This window comes from Homo sapiens, chromosome 3 (assembly GCF_000001405.40).
Source record: "Homo sapiens chromosome 3, GRCh38.p14 Primary Assembly".
Lineage (NCBI taxonomy): Eukaryota > Metazoa > Chordata > Mammalia > Primates > Hominidae > Homo > Homo sapiens.
Window position 1 is genome coordinate 52,734,265 of NC_000003.12, and position 25,017 is coordinate 52,759,281.

The 25,017-nt window shown below is 42.0% G+C and overlaps 1 protein-coding gene and 3 pseudogenes across 11 annotated transcripts in view; 3 read left to right on the plus strand and 1 right to left on the minus strand.

The window, feature by feature from the left end:
* The window catches only part of NEK4 (NIMA related kinase 4), a 62,497-nt gene that overhangs the window by 25,821 nt on the left and 11,659 nt on the right, over positions 1 to 25,017 (minus strand). For 5 of the 11 annotated variants that reach the window (NM_001193533.3, NM_001348414.2, NM_003157.6 and 2 more), the window contains 9 exons: positions 17,668 to 18,072; positions 15,428 to 15,565; positions 12,470 to 12,640; positions 11,797 to 11,946; positions 9,975 to 10,041; positions 9,088 to 9,197; positions 7,147 to 7,235; positions 5,165 to 5,370; positions 3,322 to 3,455 (listed from right to left, as the gene is read on the minus strand). In NM_001193533.3, the coding sequence (NP_001180462.1) occupies positions 3,322 to 3,455; positions 5,165 to 5,370; positions 7,147 to 7,235; positions 9,088 to 9,197; positions 9,975 to 10,041; positions 11,797 to 11,946; positions 12,470 to 12,640; positions 15,428 to 15,565; positions 17,668 to 18,072 (1,470 nt within the window). Of the gene's footprint in view, positions 1 to 3,229; positions 3,456 to 5,164; positions 5,371 to 7,146; positions 7,236 to 7,476; positions 8,154 to 9,087; positions 9,198 to 9,974; positions 10,042 to 11,796; positions 11,947 to 12,469; positions 12,641 to 15,427; positions 15,566 to 17,667; positions 18,073 to 25,017 lie in introns of those variants that run through there. The other 6 variants (NM_001348412.2, XM_047448772.1, XM_017007086.2 and 3 more) reach the window with 4 other exon arrangements.
* On the plus strand, positions 471 to 749 carry AK3P7 (AK3 pseudogene 7; annotated as a pseudogene).
* Positions 832 to 2,331, plus strand: LOC100499399 (adenylate kinase 3 pseudogene; annotated as a pseudogene).
* Positions 19,262 to 20,430, plus strand: AKTIPP1 (AKTIP pseudogene 1; annotated as a pseudogene).

A 25,017-nucleotide genomic window follows, 5' to 3' on the forward strand; every position in this document is an offset into this window, starting at 1 on the left:
TGAAACCCCGTCTCTACTCTACTAAATATACAACAATTAGCCAGGTGTGGTGGCGGGTGCCTGTAATCCCAGCTGCTCGGGAGGCTGAGGCAGGAGAATTGCTTGAACCCAGGAGGCGGAGGTTGCGGTGAGCCAATATCATGCCACTGCACTCCAGCCTGCTAGGTAACAGAGTGAGACTCCAACTCAAAAAAAAAAAAAAGATCGAGACCATCCTGGCCAACATGGTGAAACCCTGTCCCTACTAAAAATACAAAAATTAGCCATGTGTGGTGGCACACACCTGTAGTCCCAGCTACTAGGGAGGCTGAGGCAGAAGAATCGCTTGAACCTGGGAGGTGGAGGTGAGCTGAGATCGCACCACTGCACCCCAGCCTGGGTGACACAGCGAGACTCCGTCTCAAAAAAAAAAAAAAAAAAAAAAGAACAGTTATATCGGAGTAGAGAGTTTAATCAAAACTACCAGTACAATTCATCCCACCAGTGGCCAAGTCTACAACATTGAATTCAACCCTCCCAAAACTGTTGGCATTGATGATCTGACTGGGGAGCCTCTCATTCAGCAAGAGGATGATAAACCAGAGATGGATATCAAGAGACTAAAGGCTTGTGAACTGAAACAAAGCCAGTCTTAGAATATTACCAAAAAAAAAGGGGTAATGGAAACATTCTCCAGAACAGAAACCAAGAGGATTTGGCCCTGTGTATATGCTTTCCTACCAACTAAAATTCCACAAACAAGCCAGAAAGCTCTTCAGTTACTCCATGAGGAGAAATACATGTAACGAGTAAGATGAGCAAACCTCCTAGGCCTTCCATTTAGAAGCTGCTTTTCCTAAGACTTCCAGTATATATGAATTCTTTGAAAAGTATACTACTTTTATTTCTACTAATTTTATTCTGAATACAAAGGAAGTGTCAAATGAGATAGATACTAAGATTCATCTTTTGAAATCACCTAGTGTGTTTTATCCAGTTATCTTCAAAAACATCAGAGATGTCTAAACTTTTAAAACATTTGTTAGAGCGAAATTTATTTTGGTGTTAAACACACTTTCAGTTTACTCAGAATTTCCAATTTGCTATAAAAATGTAACAATTAGCATAGATAAAAATATTACTTTAAGATCACTTGTTTTCTTTTGAAAATACATATGTACTGAGGGTTATTATTTATGTCAGAAATGGACATTATAAGTTCTTGGATAAGCACCAAAGTTGAATGAATTTTTCAACAAAATGTAGTTAAAGTCTGTGTTTACAGATGTTACTCAGGTTAAGAAATGTGTTTTACGATCTACTTACCAGTTTCTCTTTTTGATCCAATGTATGAGATCTGCCCTGATAAATAACAAGGTATTGTACAACCCTCCCAAAAATAAGAGAAAAAGAGAAAACCCATGGCACTATGTAAAGTAAGCACACTTTGTCATTAGTAAATAGCTCAGGCATGCCTGGGGAATGTTCCTTTGCCAAAAATAGCAATCAATCATAATTAGTAAACAGGTGTGCCAATAAAAAGAATTTACATGATAAGTTAACAAGGATCAGGAAAGTAAGTTAATTTCCTGAAGGAGTTGTTTGTTTCTGATCAAATAAATTGATACCTGTTAGCATTCACTGCCACCTTATCTTAAGGGGAAAGAACTCTACTGGTGTCATCTGACCAGCCATTTAAAAATTGGAATCTAAAGTGATTCCTTAGTGGGGCAACAAGGATGGTTGCTGATGTACTGTGTGGTCTAGTAGGAGAAGTGGGGCAATATGAGAAGTGGAGGAAAAACCCGACTATGTCTTCCGTGGCATATTTACTCTTATTTTACTTGGTGCTAAATCAAATGAAACAAGCCCTTGTAACAGCTGTTATTAATTGCCTTTAAAAATCTGTCCTGTTTTTTCCCAGGTACTTAAAATACAAGTGCCAGTAAGTGGTTCTTATGTATTTTTGGCGGGGGGGAATTTATTTTCCTTTTCTTCTGATATTTTAAAAATCCATTGATCTTTCAAGATGAACCAAGGTTTTTAAAAATAATTATAGCAGGCCGGGCCTGGTGGCTCACGCCTGTAATCCCAGCACTTTGGGAGGCCGAGGTGGGCAGATCATGAGGTCAGGAGATCGAGACCATCCTGGCTGACACAGTGAAACCCAGCCTCTACTAAAAATACAAAACATTAGCCAAGCGTGGTGGTGGGCACCTGTAGTCCCAGCTACTCGGGAGGCTGAGGCAGGAGAATGGCGTGAACCAGGGAGGCAGAGCTTACAGTGAGCTGAGATCGCACCACTGCACTCCAGCCTAGGTGACAGAGCGAGACTCCGTCTCATAAAAAAAAAAAAAAAAAGAATTATAGTAAACACTTCATTCTTTTCTTTTTGTCCCACCCATCCCTGCCCAACTAGCACTTCATTCTTTATAAAACTTTCTATAATGCTTTATTTGAATGTTAATATTATGTGCTTTCTAAAAATGTTGTGAATTACCAAACTTATGGATTATCACTAGGTGATTAGGCATACATTAGTCTTTATCAGAATAAAATGAAATTTCATTTAAAAAAAAGAAAACTACCAATATAGAAATTCTTGAGTATGATTCACATTTAACTGCTGGCACTATAATTTCTAAATTTTTGATTTAGAATGTACATAGTTCTCATGTTTTAGGTAATAGGTAATAGAGTTTATTTTTTTTGAGACAGAGTCTTGCTCTGTCACCCAGGCTAGAGTGCAGTAGCGTAATCTCAGCTCACTGCAACCTCCGCCTCCTAGGTTCAAACAATTCTCCTGCCTCAGCCTCCCCTGCCGCTGGGATTACAGGTGCGTGGCACCATGCCCAGCTAATTTTTATATTTTTAGTAGAGATGAGTTTTCACCACTCACCACGTTGGCCAGGCTGGTCTGGTACTCCTGACCTCAGGTGATCCACCCACCTCAGCCTCCTAAAGTGCTGTGATTACAGGCGTGAGCCACCATGCCCAAGCTAAAGTTTAAATTTTCCTTAAAAAAAAAAAAGTGTCCAAGACCTAAAAGGGCTGAAACCAAAAAAACTCTTAGAAGAAAATATAAAAATAAATCTTCATGACTTCAGATTTGGCAGTGCGGACCATGGGGAGTGACTGCTAACAGGTGCAGGGCTTCTTGGGGCGTAATGAAAATGTTCTAATATCGATTGTGGTAATGACTGTACAATGTTGTAAACACATTAAAAACCACTGAATTATACACTTTAGATGAGTGAATTGTTATGTGTGATTTATATTTCAAAAGGTTGTTTAAAAAATTCTATAACATAAGCATCTTGATACAGTTAATGAGACACTCACCTCTCTATCAAATTCATCCTCCTCCTCCAAAAGATCATACACCTGCTCTAAAAGCTGAACTCCCAGGCCACGAATTACATCAGTTCTCAAGACTTCAACTAGTCTCCTGATCTTTTCAGAACCTGGCATAATAGCTAAAAGGCAACAACAAAGACAAAGGGAAAAATAAACACTTTTACCACTATAGCAAGAACACTGCAATTTTTTAAAATTTTGTATTTTATTTTATTTATTTATTTTATTTTTGAGACGGAGTCTTGCTCTGTCGCCCAGGCTGGAGTGCAGTGGCACGATCTCAGCTCACTGCAAGCTCCACCCCCTAGGTTCATGCCATTCTCCTGCCTCAGCCTCCCGACTATTTGGGACTACAGGGGCCCACCACCACACCCAGCTAATTTTTTGTATTTTTAGTAGACACAGGGTTTCACTGTGTTAGCCAGGATGGTCTTGATCTCCTGACCTCGTGACCCACCCACCTCAGCCTCCCAAAGTGCTGGGATTACAGGCATGAGCCACTGCACCCGGCCTATTTTTTTTTTTTAAGTGACAGGGTCTTGCACTGTCATAGGGATGTAGTGCAGTGTGACCATAGCTCACTATAGCCTCTAATTCCTGGGCTCAAGCAATCACCCTGCCTCAGCCTTCCAAGTAACCAGAACTACAGGAATGCACTACCATGTCCAACTAATTCTTAAATTTTTTGCAGTGATGGGGTCTATGTTGTCCCGGTTGGTCTTGAACTCCTGGCCTCAAGCAATCCTCCCACCTTGGCCTCCCAAAGCAATGAGATTACAGGCATGATGATACCACACCAAGCCTTTTTTTTTTTTTTTTGGTATTTTATTTTATTATTTTATTTTTATTTCATTTCATCTGATTTTTTGAGACAGGATCTTGCTCTGTCGCTCAGGCTGGAGTGCAGTGGCATGCTCATGGCTCACTGCAGCCTCAACCTCCTGGGTTCAAGAAATCCTCTTACCTCAGCCGCCTGAGTAGCTGGGACTACAGGCATGAGCCACTATGCCTGGCTAATTTTTGTATTTTTTGTAGACACAAGTTTTCATCATGTTGCCCAGGCTGGTCTCAAACTCTTGGACTCAAGCAATCTGCCCTCCTCAGCCTCCCAAAGTATAGGCATGAGCCACCGTACCCAGCAGGGCTGTTTTTTTAAAAATCTTGTTATACTGACATTCTTTTTTCCCTCTGACAAGAGTTTGGTTTAATGACTTAAAATTTACATATGAACTTAAGCTTCACTACCATCTCTTAAACCTAAAAAACACCACAACTGTCTAACTTGAAGAAAAGTCACATGAAAAACCACAAACATTTATCTATTTATTTTTAAAAATTAATTTTCATGTAACTTTTCAGGAATACCTCTGTTGCAAAACACAGGATATACCTTTTATGGAGATATGCAAATGAAATAATTTTAAAAACACAAAAAAATTTATAGGCATTAGTTCCTTGTTTTGACACAGTTCTCCAATAAACACATGCTCTCCAGTTTGCTGTAAAAGAATAAACTAGGCCAGGCATGGTGGCTCACACCTGTAATCCCAACACTTTGGGAGGCCAAGGTGGGAGGATCACCTTAAGTCAGGAGTTCAATACCAGCCTGGCCAAATGGTGAAACCCCGCCTCTACCAAAAATACAAAAATTACCCGGGCATGGTGGTGCATGCCTGTAGTCCCAGCTACTTGGGAGGCTGAAGCAGGAGAATCGCTTGAACCCGGGAGGCAAAGGTTGCAGTGAGCCAAGATCACACTACTGCACTCCAGCCTGGGTGACAGAGTGAGACTCCGTCTAAAAAACAAAAAATAATAATAAGCTGATCACCTGAAGGTAGCTCTTTAAAATGGATTTCCTCTGCCTCTTCTGCAACCTTCCCATGAAGTATCAGTGTGTCCCGATATTTCCGATGAAGTTTGAATTCTGACACTGGGTTTGCTACCGGGACATCTTCACAGCTCTCTTTAGAATCCAGTTTCAGGGTCTGAGTCATCAATTGTACCAAGGCATTAATTTCATTTGTCTGACCTTTCCTGGGGGAAAAAAATATCCCTTTGTTATTTAATTGGCTTCATGAGAATTTTTCATTAAAAAATTACGTGCAAAACGACCTTTCGGGAATTATCCTTTGAAATGTCCAAGTAAGTTCCTACAGACTGACCTGACCCTTCCACAAATAACAACTATAAACTCTAGAAAAAATACAAAACTCAACAACGTAAAGGGAATGCAGAATAAACAAAATCTGCAGGCAGATCTTGGAGAAGAGTCAACACCTTTAAGCCTAAGAGCAGGCCATAGGCAGATCAAAGTACAAGAGAACTCACAATCTTGTGGGCCTACAGAAAGGACAGAGTTCAGAACAACCACTGTCACTAGAAAGTGAGACAGGAACCTTGGAGACAGTCTAAAAGAAACAGCCCCAGATTCTGTGTACAAATTCTGCCTATTTCAAAGTAACTTAACTATACTCAAGTACAAAGCTCAAGAATATTTAAAGAAACACAAAATACCAGCTTCCAATGAGGTAAAATTCAGTGTCTAGCATCCCATCAAAAATAACCAGATGGGCAAAGAAGCAGGAAAATATCATACATTTGTGAAGAGAAAGAAATCAGTTAATAGAAACATATCCAAAAGTGACACGACTGATAGAATTAATAAATGAGGACATTAAAATGGGTAGTATAAATATCTTCCATATGGCCAAGGTAGAAGAAAACATGAACATGTTAAAGAGAGACACAAAGACATTAAAAAAAGACCCAAATCAAATTTCTAGAAATGAAAGATACAATATATTAAATACACGGGATAGGATTAACAGATTAGACACTGCAGAAGAAAAGATTAATGAACTCAAAGACATAGCAATAGAATCTATGAAATGTGAAACAGAAAAAAAGTAAAAACAGGCCAGGTGCAGTGGCTCATGCCTGTAATACCAGCAGTCTGGGAGGCCGAGGTGGGCGGATCACCTGAGGTCAGGAGTTCGAGACCAGCCTTGCCAATATGGTGAAACCCAGTCTCTACCAAAAATACAAAAATGTAGCTGGGCGAGTGCCTGTAATCCCAGCTACTCGGCGGGGCTGAGACAGGAGAATACCTTGAACTCAGGAGGCAGAGGTTGCAGTGAGCCAAAATCATGCCACTGCACTCCAGTCTAGATGACAGAGTTAGACTCTGTCTCAAAAAATAAATAAATAAAATAAAATATATTTTTAAAAAGTAAAAATAAACAGAGCATCAGTGAGCTGTGGCACATATTTAAGGAGCCTAATATACATGTAATTGGAATCCCTAAGAGGGCAGGAAGAAGTCCAAAAAAAAAATGTGAAGAAATAATGGCCAGGCGGGGCGTGGTGGCTCACGCCTGTAATCCCAGCACTTTGGGAGGCCGAGGTGGGCAGATCACGAGGTCAGGAGATCGAGACCATCCTGGCTAACACGGTGAAACGCCATCTCTACTAAAAAAATACAAAAAACTAGCCGGGCATGGTGGCGGACGCCTGTGGTCCCAGCTACTTGGGAGGCTGAGTCAGGAGAACGGTGTGAACCCGGGAGGCGGAGCTTGCAGTGAGCGGAGATTGTGCCACTGCACTCCAGCCTGGGCAACAAGAGCGAAACTCCGTCTCAAAAAAAAAAAAAAAAAAAAAAGAAGAGACACTTTTAGCTCCAGCATATGCCACAAACCATTTATAATTTTATCAGTGGGAATACTAGAGATCTAAATACTACTGAAAATGCACATTTAATATTCATTAAAACAGAAATAGTTTATAAAGGGAGACAGAAAAACAAGAACTTACCCTTCCCCGTAATCCCCATCTGACTTATCAGTTGAACTTGTAGAAGAACTTAACTCATCCTCAGACAGACAATGAATCTGTTTCCTTTCCTATTAAATGTTTGGAAGAATTAAAATTCTACATGACAACACAACCAGAATGTGATACTTGAACCAGTCTTAGATGCAACAACTAGACACAATACGTTCCTAGGTGCAATATAACAGGAGAATCTAACAAATACAAAAATTGTTCCCATATGATTTGTGGCAAAAAGAAAAAAACATTGAAGTGATTTTACCCGTGATATCCCAGTTCACTCATAAAGTCCACAAGAATAACTGAAGAACATCAGATGAAGTTTTTTATTTTGTTTGTTTTTTTTTTGTTTTGATTTTTGTGTTTTTTTGAGACAGAGTCTTGCTCTGTCGCCAGGCTAGAGTGCAGTGGCACGATCTCGGCTCACAGCAACTTCCGACTCTCTGGTTCAAGTGATTTTCCTGCCTCAGCCTCCCGAGTAGCTGGGATTACAGGCACGTGCCGCAACGCCCAGCTAATTTTTGTATTTTTAGTAGAGACAGGGTTTCACCATGTTGGCCAGGCTGGTCTCCAACTCTTGACCTCATGATCCGCCTGCCTCAGCCTCCCAAAGTGCCGGGATTACAGGCATGAGCTACCGCGCCTGCCCAAGGTGAAGTTTTACAAAGGTCCTGGAGAGTCTCAGCTGTGAAGAAATTTCCAGAGGACAGTGGATGGCTAGTTCTGGTTTATCAACTCCTAAGCAGAAGGCTTGTTCTATAGGAATGTTGGCATTTTAAATTACCTAGGCAAACTCAGCTTGTCTTTTTTTTTTTCTTTTTTTTGGATACAGGGGTGTCACTATGTTGTCCAGGCTGGCCACAAACTCCTGGGCTCAAGCAATCCTCCTTCCTTGGCCTCCCAAGTAGCTGAGATAACACCCACAAGCCACCATGCCCAGCTTCAGCTTGCTCTTAATGTGAGACTGTTAAAGTGCTTTAAAGGATCACCTAAAAATACACATAAACCTTACAACTCTGAGATATGGAAGGCAGCCTCTATTAGTGAAATAACTAAATGATATAGTTAAAGAAATAATACATCCAATACTTTCAAAGAACAGGAAGAATTCCCAGAGTATTATACAGAGAGGTGAACATGGGTTAGAAACCTAGTAATTACCCATTTAGCCACCAGATGGTGTCCCTACATCATCTACAGGCAAGAAGGTAAACTACATTGACACAAATAAGAAACTGAGGAATGATTAGCAAGTGAGACTCAAATCTGGCGACACAGATGGGTATGTTGGTATCACAGCAGATTGAGCAAAGTGCTGCCTAGTGCAAGCCCTTAGAAAGTTCTGTTATTTATTTACTTATTTATTTATTTATATTTTTGAGACAGAGTCTTGCTCTGTCACCTAGGCTAAAGCACAGTGGTGTGAACACAACTCACTGTAGCCTCAACCTCTTGGGCTCAAGTGATCCTTCCACCTCAGCCTCCCGAGTGGCTGGGACTACAGGTGTGCGCCACCTTGCCAGGTAATTTTTTTTTCTTAGAGACAGGGTCCAACTATATTGCCCAGATTGATCTCAAACTCCTGGGCTAAAGCAATCTTCTCACCTTGGCCTCCCAAAGTGCTAGTATTATAAGCGTGAGCCACTGCATCAGGCCAGGAAGTCCTGTTAAGACCAACCTATGAAATATTTTTAATTAGGCTATCAATTGTTTACAAGAGTACCTGAAAAATTTATTCCCTTAATGGGTCAATCATAATCCTTTTGACTATTATTTACCAGTTCCTTTCTTTATCAAGAGTGAAAAGATATAACAAGCTGGCCCTGTCCCAAAAATAAATGGAGCTGACATTTAAAAGGTTTACTGCATTAGGCCTGCCAGATGTAGACTGTCCACCTTCTCTCTTAGGAGTACGTAATGCACCTGAGTGACGCTGCAGTCAGAGGAGAGCCGTCGGGCAGGCAAGGGCTGGTCTTCTTCCTGGGGTTTTCCTGGCCCTGCTACACTCAGAGACGCTTTCCTCACTGAAGGGCCTGAAAAGGCAAACATCCCCAGTAGTTGTTTGTGGTGGGCTGCCCCAGTTGAAAAGGGCTTTGTATTTGGTATGGAACATACCCCAGCAGGAGCTAGCCCAAAAGTAAGTCAAACAGCATATTTATCATTTCTCTGGTGTCTGACACCTCAGTTGAAATCTTAGCTCTAGGTCCACCAGCTCTGTGACCTTGGGCAAGTTACTTAACTCCTCAGAGCCTCTGTTTCCTTAGCTGCAAAATGAGGATAATGCTGCATATTTTGGCAGTACTGTAAATGTGAAATGAGATAATACCCTTAATATGTTTACCATAATGCCTAAGACATGGTCAGCATTCAATAAATGGAAACTGCTAGTACTATCTTTAAAAAATATTAAAAAGAATGATAGCCCTCAGCCTACGGCAGCACCACTCCCCAAGCAACCTCCCTCTGTTCCTAAGATGGGAGCAATTCACTGAACAGTGGACACTGGACATGGAAAAAAGTTAAACATTCACTTGATTTCTGGTCTGAAACCTCCCAGGACTTACTGCCACTCAAAGCCCTCTTGTTATTTCTTTAATATCCCCCTCCTCTGATATTTGAACCACATTCAACACCCTATGATGATTTCTTAAAAGACTTGACTAAGAAATTTCAAAATCTTTTCCAACTCGATTTCCTACATGTTTTACTGCTGCTGGAAAGTTTCAACCTCTCATAGTTAGAACCAGTGTTTCTGTCCACGAACCATACCCCTAACTGCCAATTAGATGAAGAAAAGAAGTCAACTTTACCTGAAGAGGACATTTCTTCCTGTGACTGCTTTAGTCGCCTCCTCTCTCTGGCTGATAATGGTCGATCCTTTAAAAGAAAGTCACAGAGTCACTTCCATTCCTACTTGCTATTTTTATAACACCTACAATCCATGATGTATCATTCAGCATTAAGAAAAAGGTCTGAGCTGGATGCGGTGGCTCACACTTGTAATCCCAGCACTCTGGGAGGCTGGGGTGGGCAGATCACCAGGTCAGGAGTTCGAGGCCAGACTGGCCAACATGGTGAAACCCCGTCTCTACTAAAAATACAAAAATTAGCCGAGCATGGTGGTGCGTGCCTGTAATCCCAGCTACTCGGGAGGCTGAGGCAGGAGAATTGCTTGAACCTGGGAGGCGGTGGTTGCAATGAGCTGAGATCGCGCCATTGCACTCCAGCCTGGGTGACAGAGCAAGACTCCATCTCAAAAAAAAAAAAAAAAGAAAAAGGTCTTACTCCAGCCTGGGTGACACAGCAAGACCAAAAAAAAAAAAGGTCTTGCGCTGGACTTAGAGGAGTGTCCATTGGAAACCAGCCCACAGCAGGGTTATAGCTACTAGTGAAAAATGATCACAATGATCACAGCCCTCGTTTCTGGGAGGTGCTCATTTTTGGAAGGGCAAATGGGGACTTTCACATTTGCCATATTCGGAATCTACTTGGTTTCTTTTTTTTTGAGATGCAGTCTCGCTCTGTAGCCCAGGCTGGAGTGCAGTGGCCCTATCTCAGCTCACTGCAAGCTCTGCCTCCCAGGTACACGCCATTCTCCTGCCTCAGCCTCTCGAATAGCTGGGACTACAGGCGCCCACCACAACGCCCGGCTAATTTTATTTTTGTATTTTTAGTAGAGATGGGGTTTCACTGTGTTAGCCAGGATGGTCTCGATCTCCTGACCTTGTGATCTGCCCACCTCGGCCTCCCAAAGTGCTGGGATTACAGGCGTGAGCCACCGCACCTGGCCTACTTGGTTTCTTTAATTCACTGGAAGTGACCATCTCTGAAACCACAGAATCTGTCCATTTCAATCAAAGATTCTGCTGAGGCCGGGTGCGGTGGTTCATACCTGTAATCCTAGCACTTTGGGAGGCCAAGGCAGGCGGATCATCTGAGGTCAGGAGTTTGAGACAAGCCTGGCCAAATGGTGTAACCCTATCTCTACTAAAATACAAAAATTAGCCGAGCATGGTGGCTGGCACCTGTAGTTCCAGCTACTCAGGAGGCTGAGGCAGGAGAATTGCTTGAACCCAGGAGGCGGAGATTGTAGTGAGCCAAGATTGTGCCACTGCACTCCAGCCTGGGCAACAGAGCGAGACTCCACCTCAAAAAAAAAAAAAGATTCTGCTGAGATCACATCTGTCCCATCTGTTCCTTCCAGTGTTTGGCAAGAAGCAGAGCTAAGATGTTTTAATACAAAACTTCATAATATACACAAGACTTTACAAACAAAAAGCTTTATAAGAAGGTTTTGGAGGGTTTCTGCTTTAAGACAGGTTATTGCTCTGTCACCCAGGCTGAAGTACAGTGGCATGATCTCGGCTCACCTTAACCTCCGCCTTTTGGGTTCAAGCCATCCTCCCACCTCGGCCTCATGAGTAGCTGGGACTATAGGCACATGCCACCACATTTCGCTAATTTTTAAATTTTTTGTAGAGACAAGGTCTCACTATATTGCCCAGGCCAGTCTTGAACTCTTGGACTCAATTGATCCTCTTGCTTCAGCCTCCCAAAGTGCTGGGATTACATGCATGATACACCACGTCTGGTTATAAGGTTTTTAAAAATCCAGCATATGTTCCCACAAACCTTTGATGATGACATCTCACTGCTCCTTGAACTGCTCACAGACCCAGTGACCACTCTACGTTGGTTTTCAGCCTCTTTTTGTGTTGATGTGACATCCACTTTCCCAACAATGGGATGAGAAGGCAAAAATCGAGGAGGCGACTCTTGGAACTTAAATAATTAAAAAAGAAGATTATCAGTTTCATATATAGCCCCTTCCAATGTTCCCCTATCAGCAGGTTCTCTATGTATTTGTCCGTGGTTTGCTCTTAAAACCTTCAAAACATTGCATTTTTTTGGAAAGACTCTGCCAAAAGTCAGTCATCTAAGAAGGTTATGGAGAGGATACGTGTTGAAGTTATTTCTAGAAATGAGATGTCAACATGATTCTGTGGAGAAGCTGAAGAAAGAACTGTTCATCAGTACAATACAGATGGGGCCAAAGGTTTAACCACATTAGCCTATTCCTTTAACTTTCAAAATGATCTGTCCATCTTTGCTGGAGAAGATAAAATCCTTACTCTGCTTCGAACTCACTGATATTTGAAAACTACTATTTAGCATCTTGCCATTGTCACCCTTCTGTATTATGTTCCTTGCATTTCTTACATGCCTTTTTGGCAATTGTTAATTGCTCTAAATAGAAATTGAGTTTCCCAAAGTCCACCTCCCAAACCAAAGCAAAATGACTTACAGCAAAGAGATCTCTGCGGACCTGTCTCTTTTCCCCTCTGTGCTCAGTCTGTTCTCTCCTCTTTTGCCGTCGCTGTCGAGACAGGGAAGGTTCAGACCCAGAGTTGTGTGGCTGTAAATCTGGGTGGATTCTGCCCTGTTTTTCTATAATACATTCACCAGCAACTTGATCCTTAAAAACAATAAAATGACATTTTAAAGTATAGCAGCAACCTGGTACATTGTAATCCAAAGTAAGTTGTCCATAAAAAGTGGCTTTTGTTTTTTAGCATGAAAACTTTCCTCAGTTTTAAAAACTGGTTTCCATATTGCAATTTAGTGTTACATGGAAGTTCTAAAATGACCCATCACAATGTAAAGTTCACAATATGGTTCAAATATAACAATGCAGAATTGAATATAGAGGTATACATAACCTTCCTCTTAGAAAACAAAAGAAGCGGGCCAGGCATGGTGGCTTGTGCCTGTAATCCCAGCACTTTGGGAGGCTGAGGCAGGCAGATCACAAGGTCAGGAGTTCGAGACCAGCCTGGCCAACATCGTGAAACCCCCGTCTCTACAAAAATACAAAAATTAGCTGGGCATGGTGGCACGCACCTGTAATCCCAGCTACTCAGAAGGCTGAGGTAGAAGAATTGCTTGAACCCGGGAGGGGGAGGCTGCAGTAAGCTGAGATCGCACCACTGCACTCCAGCCTGGGCAACAGAGTGAGACTCCATCTCAAAAAAAAAAAAAAAGAAAAGAAAAGAAAAGCAGTTGCAATTTCAAATTTTTGTGCAATGAAATTAAATCATAATGCAACAGTTAAAAAATAATGATTATAAAATGAAGCAAACACACACAAAAACACAAAATAATGAAGTCTTTTGAACATCCAAATGGCCAAACGCTCCATGCCTACTTTTAAAATTGTAAATGAAAATGAGAAGAAGCTGAGTGTGGTAGCCCACACCTGTAATCCCAACACTCTGGGAAGCCAAGTCAGGAAGACCACTGGAGGCCACGAGTTCAAGACCAGTCTGAGCAACAGAGTGAGACCTCCATCTCCATTTAAAAAAAAAAAAAAAGTCAGATGTAGTGATATGCCAGGTAGTCACAGCTACCCAGGAGGCTGAGGTAAGAGGATTGTATGAGTCCAGGAGGTCAAGGCTACCATGAGCTGTGATCATGCCACTGTCCTCTAGCCTGGGTGACACAGCAAGAGTGTCTCAAAAAAAAAAATTATTATTTTATTTAATTTTTTTTGAGACAGAGTCTCGCTCTGTCGCCCAGGCTGGAGTGCAATGGCGCGATCTCGGCTCACTGCAAGCTCCTCCTCCTGGGTTCACGCCATTCTCCTGCCTCAGCCTCCCGAGTAGCTGGGACTACAGGTGGCCGCCACCACGCCCAGCTAATTTTTTTTTTTTTTGTATTTTTAGTAGAGACGGCGTTTCACTGTGTTAGCCAGGATGGTCTCGATCTCCTGACCTCATGATCCGCCCGCCTCGGCCTCCCAAAGTGCTGGAATTACAGGTGTGAGCCACTGTGCCTGGCCAAAATTTTTTAATAAATTAAAAAGAAAATGAGAAGTTGTCTTTCTCAAAATGAATGTTTATTTGCAGTGTTGACAGGCAAAGACAAAATGCCGACATCAGTTATCCAAATGTTCTGATTTTTTTCTCTTCCTCCAAATAAAAATAATTGTTTTAATTCAATCACTTAAATTGTGGTTAATCTGAAACTACTGATGTTTGATTCAATTATTTTTAAAAATCTCCTCATAACTTTTCATAGGTTTTCCATTCTGAAAATGAACCAATGTTTTAAATGAATTCCAATTTAATACAAATTTATTTCCCAAGTAAACATCAGTTATTTGGATGTACCCTAAAAAGCACAATAAAAAGACCATTGAGCTTGGCATTAGATGCAGTCTTATGTGAGAAACTTAATTTCCCTGAGCCCAGTTTCATCATTTAAAAATGGATCTAATACCCACAGCCATATTGTATTACTATTTCAGGATTAGCTGAAAGAATACACTAAAAGTACTTAGGACTATGTCTGATGCATATTAATTAGATGCTCAGCCAGGCACAGGTGGCTCACACCCGTAATCACAGCACTTTGGAGGCCAAGGTGGGAGGATGATTTGAGCCCAGCCAGGAGTTTGAGACCAGCCTAGACAACATAGGGACACCCTGTCCCTACAAAAAATAGAAAAAATTAGCCAGGCGTGCTGGCGTATGCCTGTAGTCCCAGCTACTCGAGAGGGTAAGATTGGAGGATCACTTGAGCCTAGGAGGTGGAGGCTGCAGTGAGCTGAGATCACATCACTGCACTCCAGCCTTAGCAACAGAGCAAGGCCTTGCAGAAGGGGAAGAGGGGAGGGGAGGGGAGGATGGGAGACAATATTTTATTTTCCTTTTTTGTTTTTTTGAGATGGAGTCTTGCTCTGTCACCCAGGCTGGAGTGCACTGGGTCAATCTCAGCTCACTACAACCTCTGCCTCCCAGGTTCAAGCGATTCTCCTGCCTCAGCGTCCTGAGTAGCTGGAATTACAGGCTCGTGCCACCATGCCCAGCTAATTTTTGTATTTTTAGTAGAAACAGGGTTTCACCATGTTGGCCAGGCTGGTCTTGAACTCCTGACCTCAAGGGATCCTCCTGCCTCGGCCTCCCAAAGTGCTGGGATTACAGGCGTGAGCCACCATTCCTGGACGGGAGACAATATTTTCAAATGCTGTATCTAATAAGTAACTGGTATCTAGAATAAAGAATTCAAATAGATTATTTCTCCAAAGGAGAAATACTGGCCAAAGTATATAAAAAGATGCTCAAGGCTGGGCACGGTGGCTCACACCTGTAATCCCAGCACTTTGGGAGGTCGAGGCAGGCTGATCACTTGAGGTCAGAAGTTCGTGACCAGCCTGACCAACATGGTAAAACCCCATCTCTGCTAGAAAAACTGCAAAAATTACCTGGGCGTGGTGGCACACGCCTGTAATCCCAGCTACTCGGGAGGCTGAGGCTGGAGAATCACTTGAACCCAGGAGGCGGAGGTTGCTGTGAGCCAAGATTGTGCCACTGCACTCCAGCTTGGGCGACAGGGCAAGACTCTGTCTCAAAAAAAAAGAAAAAGAAAAACATGTTCAACATCATTGGTCATTAGGGAGATGCAAATCACAACCACTTCATACCTACTAGGATGACTATGTTCAAAACAATGAACAGTAACGAGTGTTAGCATGGATGCAGATAAACTGGAACCCTCATATATTGCTGGCAGAAATAAAATTATATGGTTGTTTTGGAAAACAATTTTGCAGTTTCTCAAAAAGTTTAATACATAGAGTTACCATATGACCCAGGAATTCTACCCCTAGGTACATACTCAACAGAACTGAAAATATATGTCCACACAGAAACTTGTATGCAAGTGTTCATAGCCGCATTATCCACATATAACCTTCCTCTTAGAAAACAAAAGTACCTAAAAAGTAGAAACAACCCAAATGTACATCAACTGATGAATGGATGAATAAAATATATATAGGCTGGGTGTGGTGGCTCACACCTGTAATCCCAGCACTTTGGGAGGCCAAGGCAGGCGATTCACTTGAGGTCAGGAGTTTGAGACCAGTCTGGCCAACATGGTGAAACCCCATCTCTACTAAAAATACTAAAATCAGCTGGGCATGGTGGTATGCACTTGCAATCCCAGGTACTTGGGAGACGGAGGCACGAGAATCATTGAACCCAGGAGGCAGAGGTTATAGTGAGCTGAGATCGTGCCACTGTACTCTAGCCTGGGTGACAGAGTGAGACTCAAACAAACAAAAAATACATATATGTGTGTGTATACACACACATGCACACACACACAGGCACACAAATACAAATACAGTATATTATTTGGCAATAAAAAGGAATGAGGCAGGGTCCAGTGACTCATGCCTATAATCCCAGTACGCTGGGAGGCCAAGTTGGGAGGACTGTCGAGCCCAGGAGTTTGAGACCAGCCTGGGCAACATGGCCATGGCAAGGCCCCATCTCTCTACAAGAAATAGAAATAAAAAAATTAGCAGGGCATGTCTGTGGTCCCAGCTACTCAGGAGGCTGAGGCAGGAGGATCACTTAAGCCCAGGAAGTCAAGGCTGCAGTGAGCTGTGTTTGCACCACTGCACGCTAGCCTGAGCAGCAGAGACCCTGTCTCAAAAAATTAAAAAATGAAATTTTTTTAAAAAAGGAATAAAATGTTGGTACATCCTACATCATAGATAAACCTTGAAAACATCAGGTTAAGTAAAAGAAGGCAGGCCAGGCCCAGTGGCTTATGTCTGTAATCTCAGCACTTTGGGAGGCCAAAGCAGGCTGATCACCTGAGGTCGGGAGTTCGAGACCAGCCTGACCAACATGAAGAAACCCCGTCTGTACTAAAAACACAAAAGTAGCCGGGCATCGGCCGAGTGCGGTGGCTCATGCCTGTAATCCCAGCACTTTGGGAGGCCAAGATGGGCAGATCACGAGGTCAGGAGATCGAGACCATCCTGACTAACACGGTGAAACCTCGTCTCTACTAAAAATACAAAAAAATTAGCCAGGTGTGGTGGTGGGTGCTTGTAGTCCCAGCTACTCGGGAGGCTGACGCAGGAAAATGGTGTGAACCCGGGAGGCGGAGGTTGCAGTGAGCCGAGATCACGCCACTGCACTCCAGCCTGGGCGACAGAGTGGGACTCTGTCTCAAAAAAAAAAAAAAAATTAGCTGGGCGTGGTGGCGCATGCCTGTAATCCCAGCTACTCAGGAGGCTGAGGCATAAGAACTGCTTGAACCCAGGAGGCAGAGGTTGCAGTGAGCCGAGATCGCGCCATTGCAATCCAGCCTGGGAAACAAGAGTGAAACTCTGTCTCAAAAAAAAAAAGAGAAAAAAAGAAGCCAAACACACAAAGCCATAAATTGTATGATTCCATTTATATGAAATCCTCAGAATAGGCAAATCCATAGAGACAAATGTTGCCACGAGTTGTGGGCAAGAGGGAATGGTGAGTGACTGTTATAGGGTACTGGGTTTCTTTTTGGTTTGATGCAAATATTCTTCTATGTTTAAACTGATACATAGAATTACTGATTTTCCTAAAATGACAACAGAACCCACATATTTGTAACTGCACTTTCAGTCTTCTCTCCAAAACCAGTATCTCATGTGTGCATATCACTCACCTGGTCCTTTGGCTTTTGTTCTTTGATTAGGGGCTGCAGAGGCTTCACTGGTTCATTCTTTTCCCCAGTGACAATGTCAGAGGACCACATGGGAATCAGGTTTTCAGGCTGGGCACTGGATTTAGTGTTGTCCTGCAGCATCTCCTCTTCCACTTGAGAAATACTGCATATACCTCCTAACTCATTAGAGGCATCCAAATATCTTGGCTGATTCTCCTGAACAAAGCCATCACTCACTGAATCCCTCCCTTTTGCAGGTAAGATGTCAATATTTACGCTACTGATTGTGGCTAGTTCTGTGGTATTGCTCAAGTCCTGTTTGCAGGTATGGGCTTTCAGACTGGCAGGTGACTTCAAGAGACCAGAGGCCCTGGGTTTCTCCTGGGACAAACATTTGCCTTCACCCTGAATGAAAAGATGTTTGGAAATTATTATAGCACTCCTCATATCTTATACAAAATCAACTCAAAATGCAACAAGAGGTTCCTCAAAAAGTTAAACATAGAATTAACATATGACTCAGCAATTCCACTCCTAAGTATGTAATCCAAGGAACTGAAAGCAGGGATTTAAGTTAAGTATTTGTACACCAATGTTTACAGCAGCTTTATTTAAAATAGTCAAAAGGCGGAAACAACCCAAAAGTCCATCAGCAGATGAAGGGATAAACAAAATGTGGTAAATACTGCCAGGCACGGTGGCTCACACCTGTAATCCCAGCAGTTTGGGAGGCCAAAGCAAGTGAACCACTTGAGGCCAGGAGCTTGAGACCAGCCTGGGCAACATGGTGAAATCCCATCTCTACTAAAAATACAAAAATTAGCCAGGTGTGGTGGTGCATGTCTGTAGTCCCAGTTACCTGGGAGGCTGATGCGGGAGGATTGCTTGAGCCTAGGAGGCGGAGGTTGTAGTGAGCCGAGAGCCCGCCACTGCACTCCAGCCTGGGCAACAGGAGTGAAACCCTGCCTCAAAAAAAAAAAAAAAAAATATATATATATATATACACACACACACACACACACAATGGAATATTTCTAATCTATAAAAAGGAATGAAGTTCTGATACATGCTAAAACACGAATGAACCCTGAAAACATGCTAAGTAAAATAAGCCAGGCCAAGTGTGGTGGCTCACACCTATCATCCCAGCACTTGAGCTCAGGAGTTTGAGACCAGCCTAGGCAACATGGCGAAACCCCATTTCTATAAAAAATACCAAAAAATTAGCTGGGCATGGTGGCAAGTGCCTGTAGTCCCAGCTACTTGGAAGCCTGAGTGGGAGGATTGCTTGAGCCGGGAGGTCAAGGCTGCAGTGAGCCGTGATCACACCACTGCACTCCAGCCTGGTTGACACAGTTGAGATCCTGTCTCAGAAAAGAAAAGAAGTAAGCCAGGACAGGGCAGGGAGCAAGCAGGGGCAGGACTGGCACTGTGGCCAGAGATGCCGCTGGGCCACAAAGGTGATAGGCAGCTGGGAACTCTACATTGAAGGCACAGAGGTGAGGCACAATGCCCGGAAGGCTGGTAAATTGAATGCTGAGGACGGAAGAGTCTGATGACATACTACTGAATTTCTTTGTTTGGAGTACACATTATGTACTCTTTCTGGAGCATGTCTACAAGCTCTACATGGAAACGATCTGAAGCTGAAAACATTGGCAGGGGATGCAAAAACCAGTCTTTGATGAACTATGCCAAAGAAACAGCTGCCTTCTATTCCCAAAAATGCTTTGCCCATAACTAAGCCTACGGAGCCTGTCCCAGCAGCACAGTCAACAAATGGCATGCATGCTTCCTACAGACTCGTCCACCTGAAATACTCTCTTCTTGCTGAATTTACCTTGGTTGCGGAGCAGACGTTATTAGGTGTCTATGTGCAGCCATCTTATCCCTCTGTATTAAAGTGGTTTGGACTAATATTCATAGGGCACAGACTTTATCAAGATGGCATATTTAGGCCAGGCGCGGTGGCTCACACCTATAATCCCAGCACTTTGAGAGTCCGAGGCGGTGGAGCACTCAGGAGTTCGAGACCAGCCTGGCTAACATGGTGAAACCCCGTCTCTAACCAAAAATATAACAATTTGCTGGTGTGGTGCCACATGCCTGTAATCCCAGCTACTTAGGAGGCTGAGGCAGGAGATCACTTGAACCCAGGAGGCAGAGGTTGCGGTGAGCCAAGATCGCACCACTGCACTCTAGCCTGGGAAACAGAGCGAGACTCCGTCTCAAAAACAAAAGATGGTGTATTTAAGTTTGCAGTTTACATCCATCCCTAATTACTATCCAGATGGTGACTATCCATGCTTGATATTTGGTATTCCCATCTTTCACCTACTAGGTGATGCCACCTCAGATGAACTGGATGTGAAGAGCATTTGGAAAATGGAGGTGGAATCATAACCAAATTTGGCAAGTACTAACAATATGCAGGGAGAGTTTTCTACAAGATTGATACAAAAAGCCCCCTAAACCCAGAGGCTGCAATACTGTATGAGAAAGATGTTCAGCTTTTTAAGAGTAAAGTGGTTGACAGTGTTAAGGTATGTATTACTCGTCTGTCTGACCAATTTAAAATAGAAGACTCATGCAATTAGCTTTTCTCCATGGAATCCTTCTGTACATGATGAAGCCAGAGAAAAGATGCTGACTCAGAAAAGCCTGAAGAACAGCACAATAAGTGTACGTGTCGCCGGCCTGTCATAGGTAAAGCCTGGCTCAGTACAATCTTTCAGTAAAGAAGAGAAAACAGTAGCAACTTAAGAGATGGTGAATCTGGTACACCATGCACTTTCCTGCTGGACTCTGGACTAGTTCAAGCTGACCAATGGCAATGGACAGCTTGAAAAACAAAACTGTGGGCCGGGCACCGTGGCTCATGCCTGTAATCCTAGAACTTTGGGAGGCCAAGATGGGCGGATCACGAGGTCAGGAGATCCAGAACATCCTGGCTAACATGGTGAAACCCCGTCTCTACTAAAAATGCAAAAAAATTAGCCGGGCGCGGTGGCAGGCGCCTGTAGTCCCAGCTACTCGGGAGGCTGAGGCAGGAGAATGGCGTGAACCCGGGAGGCAGAGCTTGCAGTGAGCCAAGGTCGCACCACTGGACTCCAGCCTGGGCGACAGAGCAAGACTCCGTCTCAAAAAAAAAAAAAAGAAAAAAGAAAAACAAAACTTCTTAACAATGAAAAAAAAAAAAAGAAAGAAAGAAGCCAGAAACAGAAAGACAAATATTGTATGATTCCACTTACATAAAATATCTAGAACAGGCAAATCGGCAAATCCATAGACAAAAAGTAGATGAGAGCTTACCAGGGCCTGACGATACGGGGAATAGAAAATTATTGCTCAATGGGTACCAAGTTTCTGTTTGAAATGATGAAAAGGTTTTGGAAGATAGTGGTGATGGCTGCATGATACTGTGAATCTAATTAAGGACAATGAATTATATGCTTCATATGTACTATTAGACCACATTAACAGAATGAAGGAAAAAAAACACATGATCATCAACACCCTTATGTGATGATTTTCAGGGCTGTGAAAAAAAAACACCTTTTCATGATTAAAAAAAAATTCAACAAACTACGAATAGAAAAAAAAATTCATAACATAATAAAAGTCATATATGAAACACCCACAGTAAACATCACATTTAATGGTGAAAGACTGAAAGCTTTTCCTCTAAGATCAGGAACAAGGCAAGAATGCCTGTTTTCACCTCTTCTAGTCAATATAGTACTAGAAGTTCTAGCCAGAGCAATTAGGCAAGGAAAAAAAAAATAAAAGGCATCAAAATTAGAAAAGAAGAAGTAAAATTATCTCCTTTTGCAGATATGATCTTGTGTCTAGGAAACCCTAAAGATTCCACATACAGAAACTGTTGGAACTAATAAACGAACTGAGCAAGGTAGCAAGAGGCAAAGTCAACATACAAAAATCAGTTGCATTTCTATACACTAACAATAAACAATCTGAGAAGCAAATTACAAGAACAATTCAATTTACAATAGTATCAAAAATAATAAAATAATTAGGAATTAACCAAAAGGCGAAAGAAGGACTTACATAGTGAAATCTACAAAATGGTGCTGAAAGAAATTTAAAGAAGACATAAATAAATGGAAACACATCCCATGTTCATGGATTGAAAGACTTAACATTGTTCTTTCTTTTTTTCTCTTTTTACATTTGGGCATCTCCTTGAGAAAAGCTTAATATTGTCAATATATTAATATTACCCAGAGCAATCTACAGATTCAATCTAATCCCTATCAAAATCCCAATGACATTCTTTGGAAAAATAGAAAAATCCATCCTAAAATTCAGTGGAATCTCAAGGGATCCCAAATAGCCAAAACAATCTTGAAAAAGAAGAATAGAGATGGAGGACTCATGCCTCATGATTTTAAAACATACCACAAAACCACATTATCAAAACAGTGTAGTATTAGTATAAAAACAGACATTAGACATAGAAACCAATGGAACAGAATGGGGAACCCAGAAATAAACTTTCACATATGTGGTCGAATGATTTTTGACAAAGATGCCAAGATCATTTAATGAGGAAAGGACAGTTTTTTCAACAAATAGTGCTGAAAAAGCTAGATATCCATATACAGAATAATGAAGTCAGACCTTTACCTAACACCATATATAAAAATTAACTCAAAATGAACAAAAAACCTAAATGTAAGACCTAAAACTATAAAACTCTCAGAAGAAGACATAAGGCAAAGGCTTCACAACATTGGATTTGCCAACGATTTTCTGGATAGGACACCAAAGGCACAGGCAACACAAGAAAAAGACACACTGGATTTCACAAAAATTAAAAATTTTGTGCATCAAAAGATACTATCAACAGAGTAAAAAGGTAACCCACAAAATGAGAGAAAATATTTGCAAATCATATATGTGATAAGGAATTGACATCCTGAATATATGGAGAACTCCTAAAATCCAACAGCAAAAAATGAACGACCCAACTCAAAAATGGGCAAAGGATTTGAATAGACGCTCCTCCCAAAAAGATAGCAAACGGCCAATAAGCACACAAAAAATGCTCAATATAACTAATCACTAAGGAAATGCAAATCAAAACTACAATGAGATACCACCTCATGCCCATTAGGATGGCTATTACTAAAAAATCCCAGAAAATAACAAGTACTGGTGAGAATGTAGAGAAATTGGAACCTTTGTGTACTGCTGATAGGAATGTAAAATGATACAGAAGTTGTGGAAAACAGTACCACAGGTCCTCAAAAAGTTAGAATTACCATGTAGTCAGCAGTTCCACTTCTGGTTATATACCCAACAAAAGAGAAATCAGGGTCTTAGCTGGGAGCAGAGGCTCACGCCTGTAATTCTAGCACTTTGGGAGGCCAAGGCGGGTGGATTACCTGAGGTCAGGAGTTTGAGACCAGCCTGGCCAACATGGTGAAATCCCATCTCTACTAAAAATACAAAAATTAGCTGGGCATGATGGCACATGCCTGTAATCCCAGCTACTTGGGAGGCTGAGGCAGGAGAATCGCTTGAACCTGGGAGGTGGAGGTTACAGTGAGCCACGATTGTGCCACTGCGCTCCAACCTGGGTAACAGTGAGACTCCGTCTCAAAAAAAAAAAAAAAAAGAAAAAAGAAATCAGGGTCTCAAAGAGATAAGTGTACATTCATGTTCATAGCAGCGTTATTCACACTAGCAAAAAAGGTGGAAACAACACAAATGTACATCTGCAGATGAACCAGATAAACAAAACGTGGGATATACATGCAACAGAATACTATTCAGCATTAAAAAGGAAGGTAATTCTGACATATGTCACAACATGGATGAACCTTGAGGATATTATGTGAAACGAAATAAGGCAGTCATGAAAGACAAATAATGCAAGATCTCCTTATCTGAGGTACTTACACTAGTCAAAACCATGGAGACAGAAAGTAGAATGGTGGGCCAGGCACAGTGGCTCACACCTGTAATCTCAGCATTTTGGGAGGCCAAGGTGGGTGGATTGCCTGAGGTCAGGAGTTCAAGACCAGTCTGGCCAACGTGGTGAAACCCTGTCTCTACTAAAAATACAAAAAAAATTAGCCAGATGTTGTGGCGTGTACCTGTAATCCCAGCTATTCAGGGGGCTGAGGCAGGGGAATTGCTTGAACCAGGGAGGTGGAGGTTGCAGTGAGCCGAGATCATGCCACTGCACTCCAGCCTGGGTGACACAGCAAGACACCATCTCAAAAAAAAAAAAAAAAAAAAAAAAAGAAAGAAAGTAGAATGGTAGAACAGTGGTTGCCAGGGACTGGGGTAGTAGGGAATGGGGAGATACTGTTTAATGGTAACAGAGTTCAGTTTTACAATATGAGAGTTATGAAGATGAGGGGTGATGGCTGCATAACATTATAGATGTATTTAACACCACTAAATTGTACACTTACAAATGGTTAAAATAGTAAATTTTACATTATGTGTACTTTATCATAATGAAAAAATTAAAACTAAAAATTCGATCGACAACCTAAATATAAGAGCTAAAACTATAAAACTGTTAGAAGAAACTATGGCATAAACCTTCAAGACGTTGGATTTGGCAAGGGATTCTTAGCTATGACAACAAAATAAAAAAATAGATAAACTGGACTTCATCAAAATTAGAAGCTTTTGTGAAAAGGACATTATCAAGAAAGTGAAAAAACAAAAGAAATTTTTAAAAACAAAAAAAAAAATTTTAACTAAAAAAGGAAAGAAAAGACAACCTATACAATGGAGAAAATACTTGCAAGTTGTCTATCTGACAAGGGACTAGTATCTGGAACACAGATCGAGAACTCCTACAACTCAACAACAAAAAGACAAAAACACAATTTAAAACTGGGCAGGGGCTGGGTGATGTGGCTCATACCTGTAATATCAGCACTTTGGGAGGAAAACGCAGAAGAACTGTTCAAGACCAGCCTGAGCAACATAGTGAGACCCACCTCTACAAAAATAATCATAATAATTAGCCAGGTATGGTGGCGTGCACCTGTAGACACAGCTAATCGGAAGGCTGAGGTAGGAGGATCCCTTGAGTCAAGGAGTTCAGAGGCTGTAGTGAGCTATGATGATGCCACTATACTCCAGCCTACGTAACAGAGCAAGATCCTCTCTTAAAAAAAGAAAAAAGAAAAAAAAAAAAAAAGCCTGGGCACAGTGGCTCATGCCTGTAATTCCAGCACTTTGTTTGGGAAGCCAAGGTGGGAGGACCTCCTGAGCCCAGGAGTTTGAGACCAGCCTGGGCAACATAGTAAGACATTGTCTCTACAAATAAAAAAATTAGCCAGGCATGGTGGCATGCTGTGG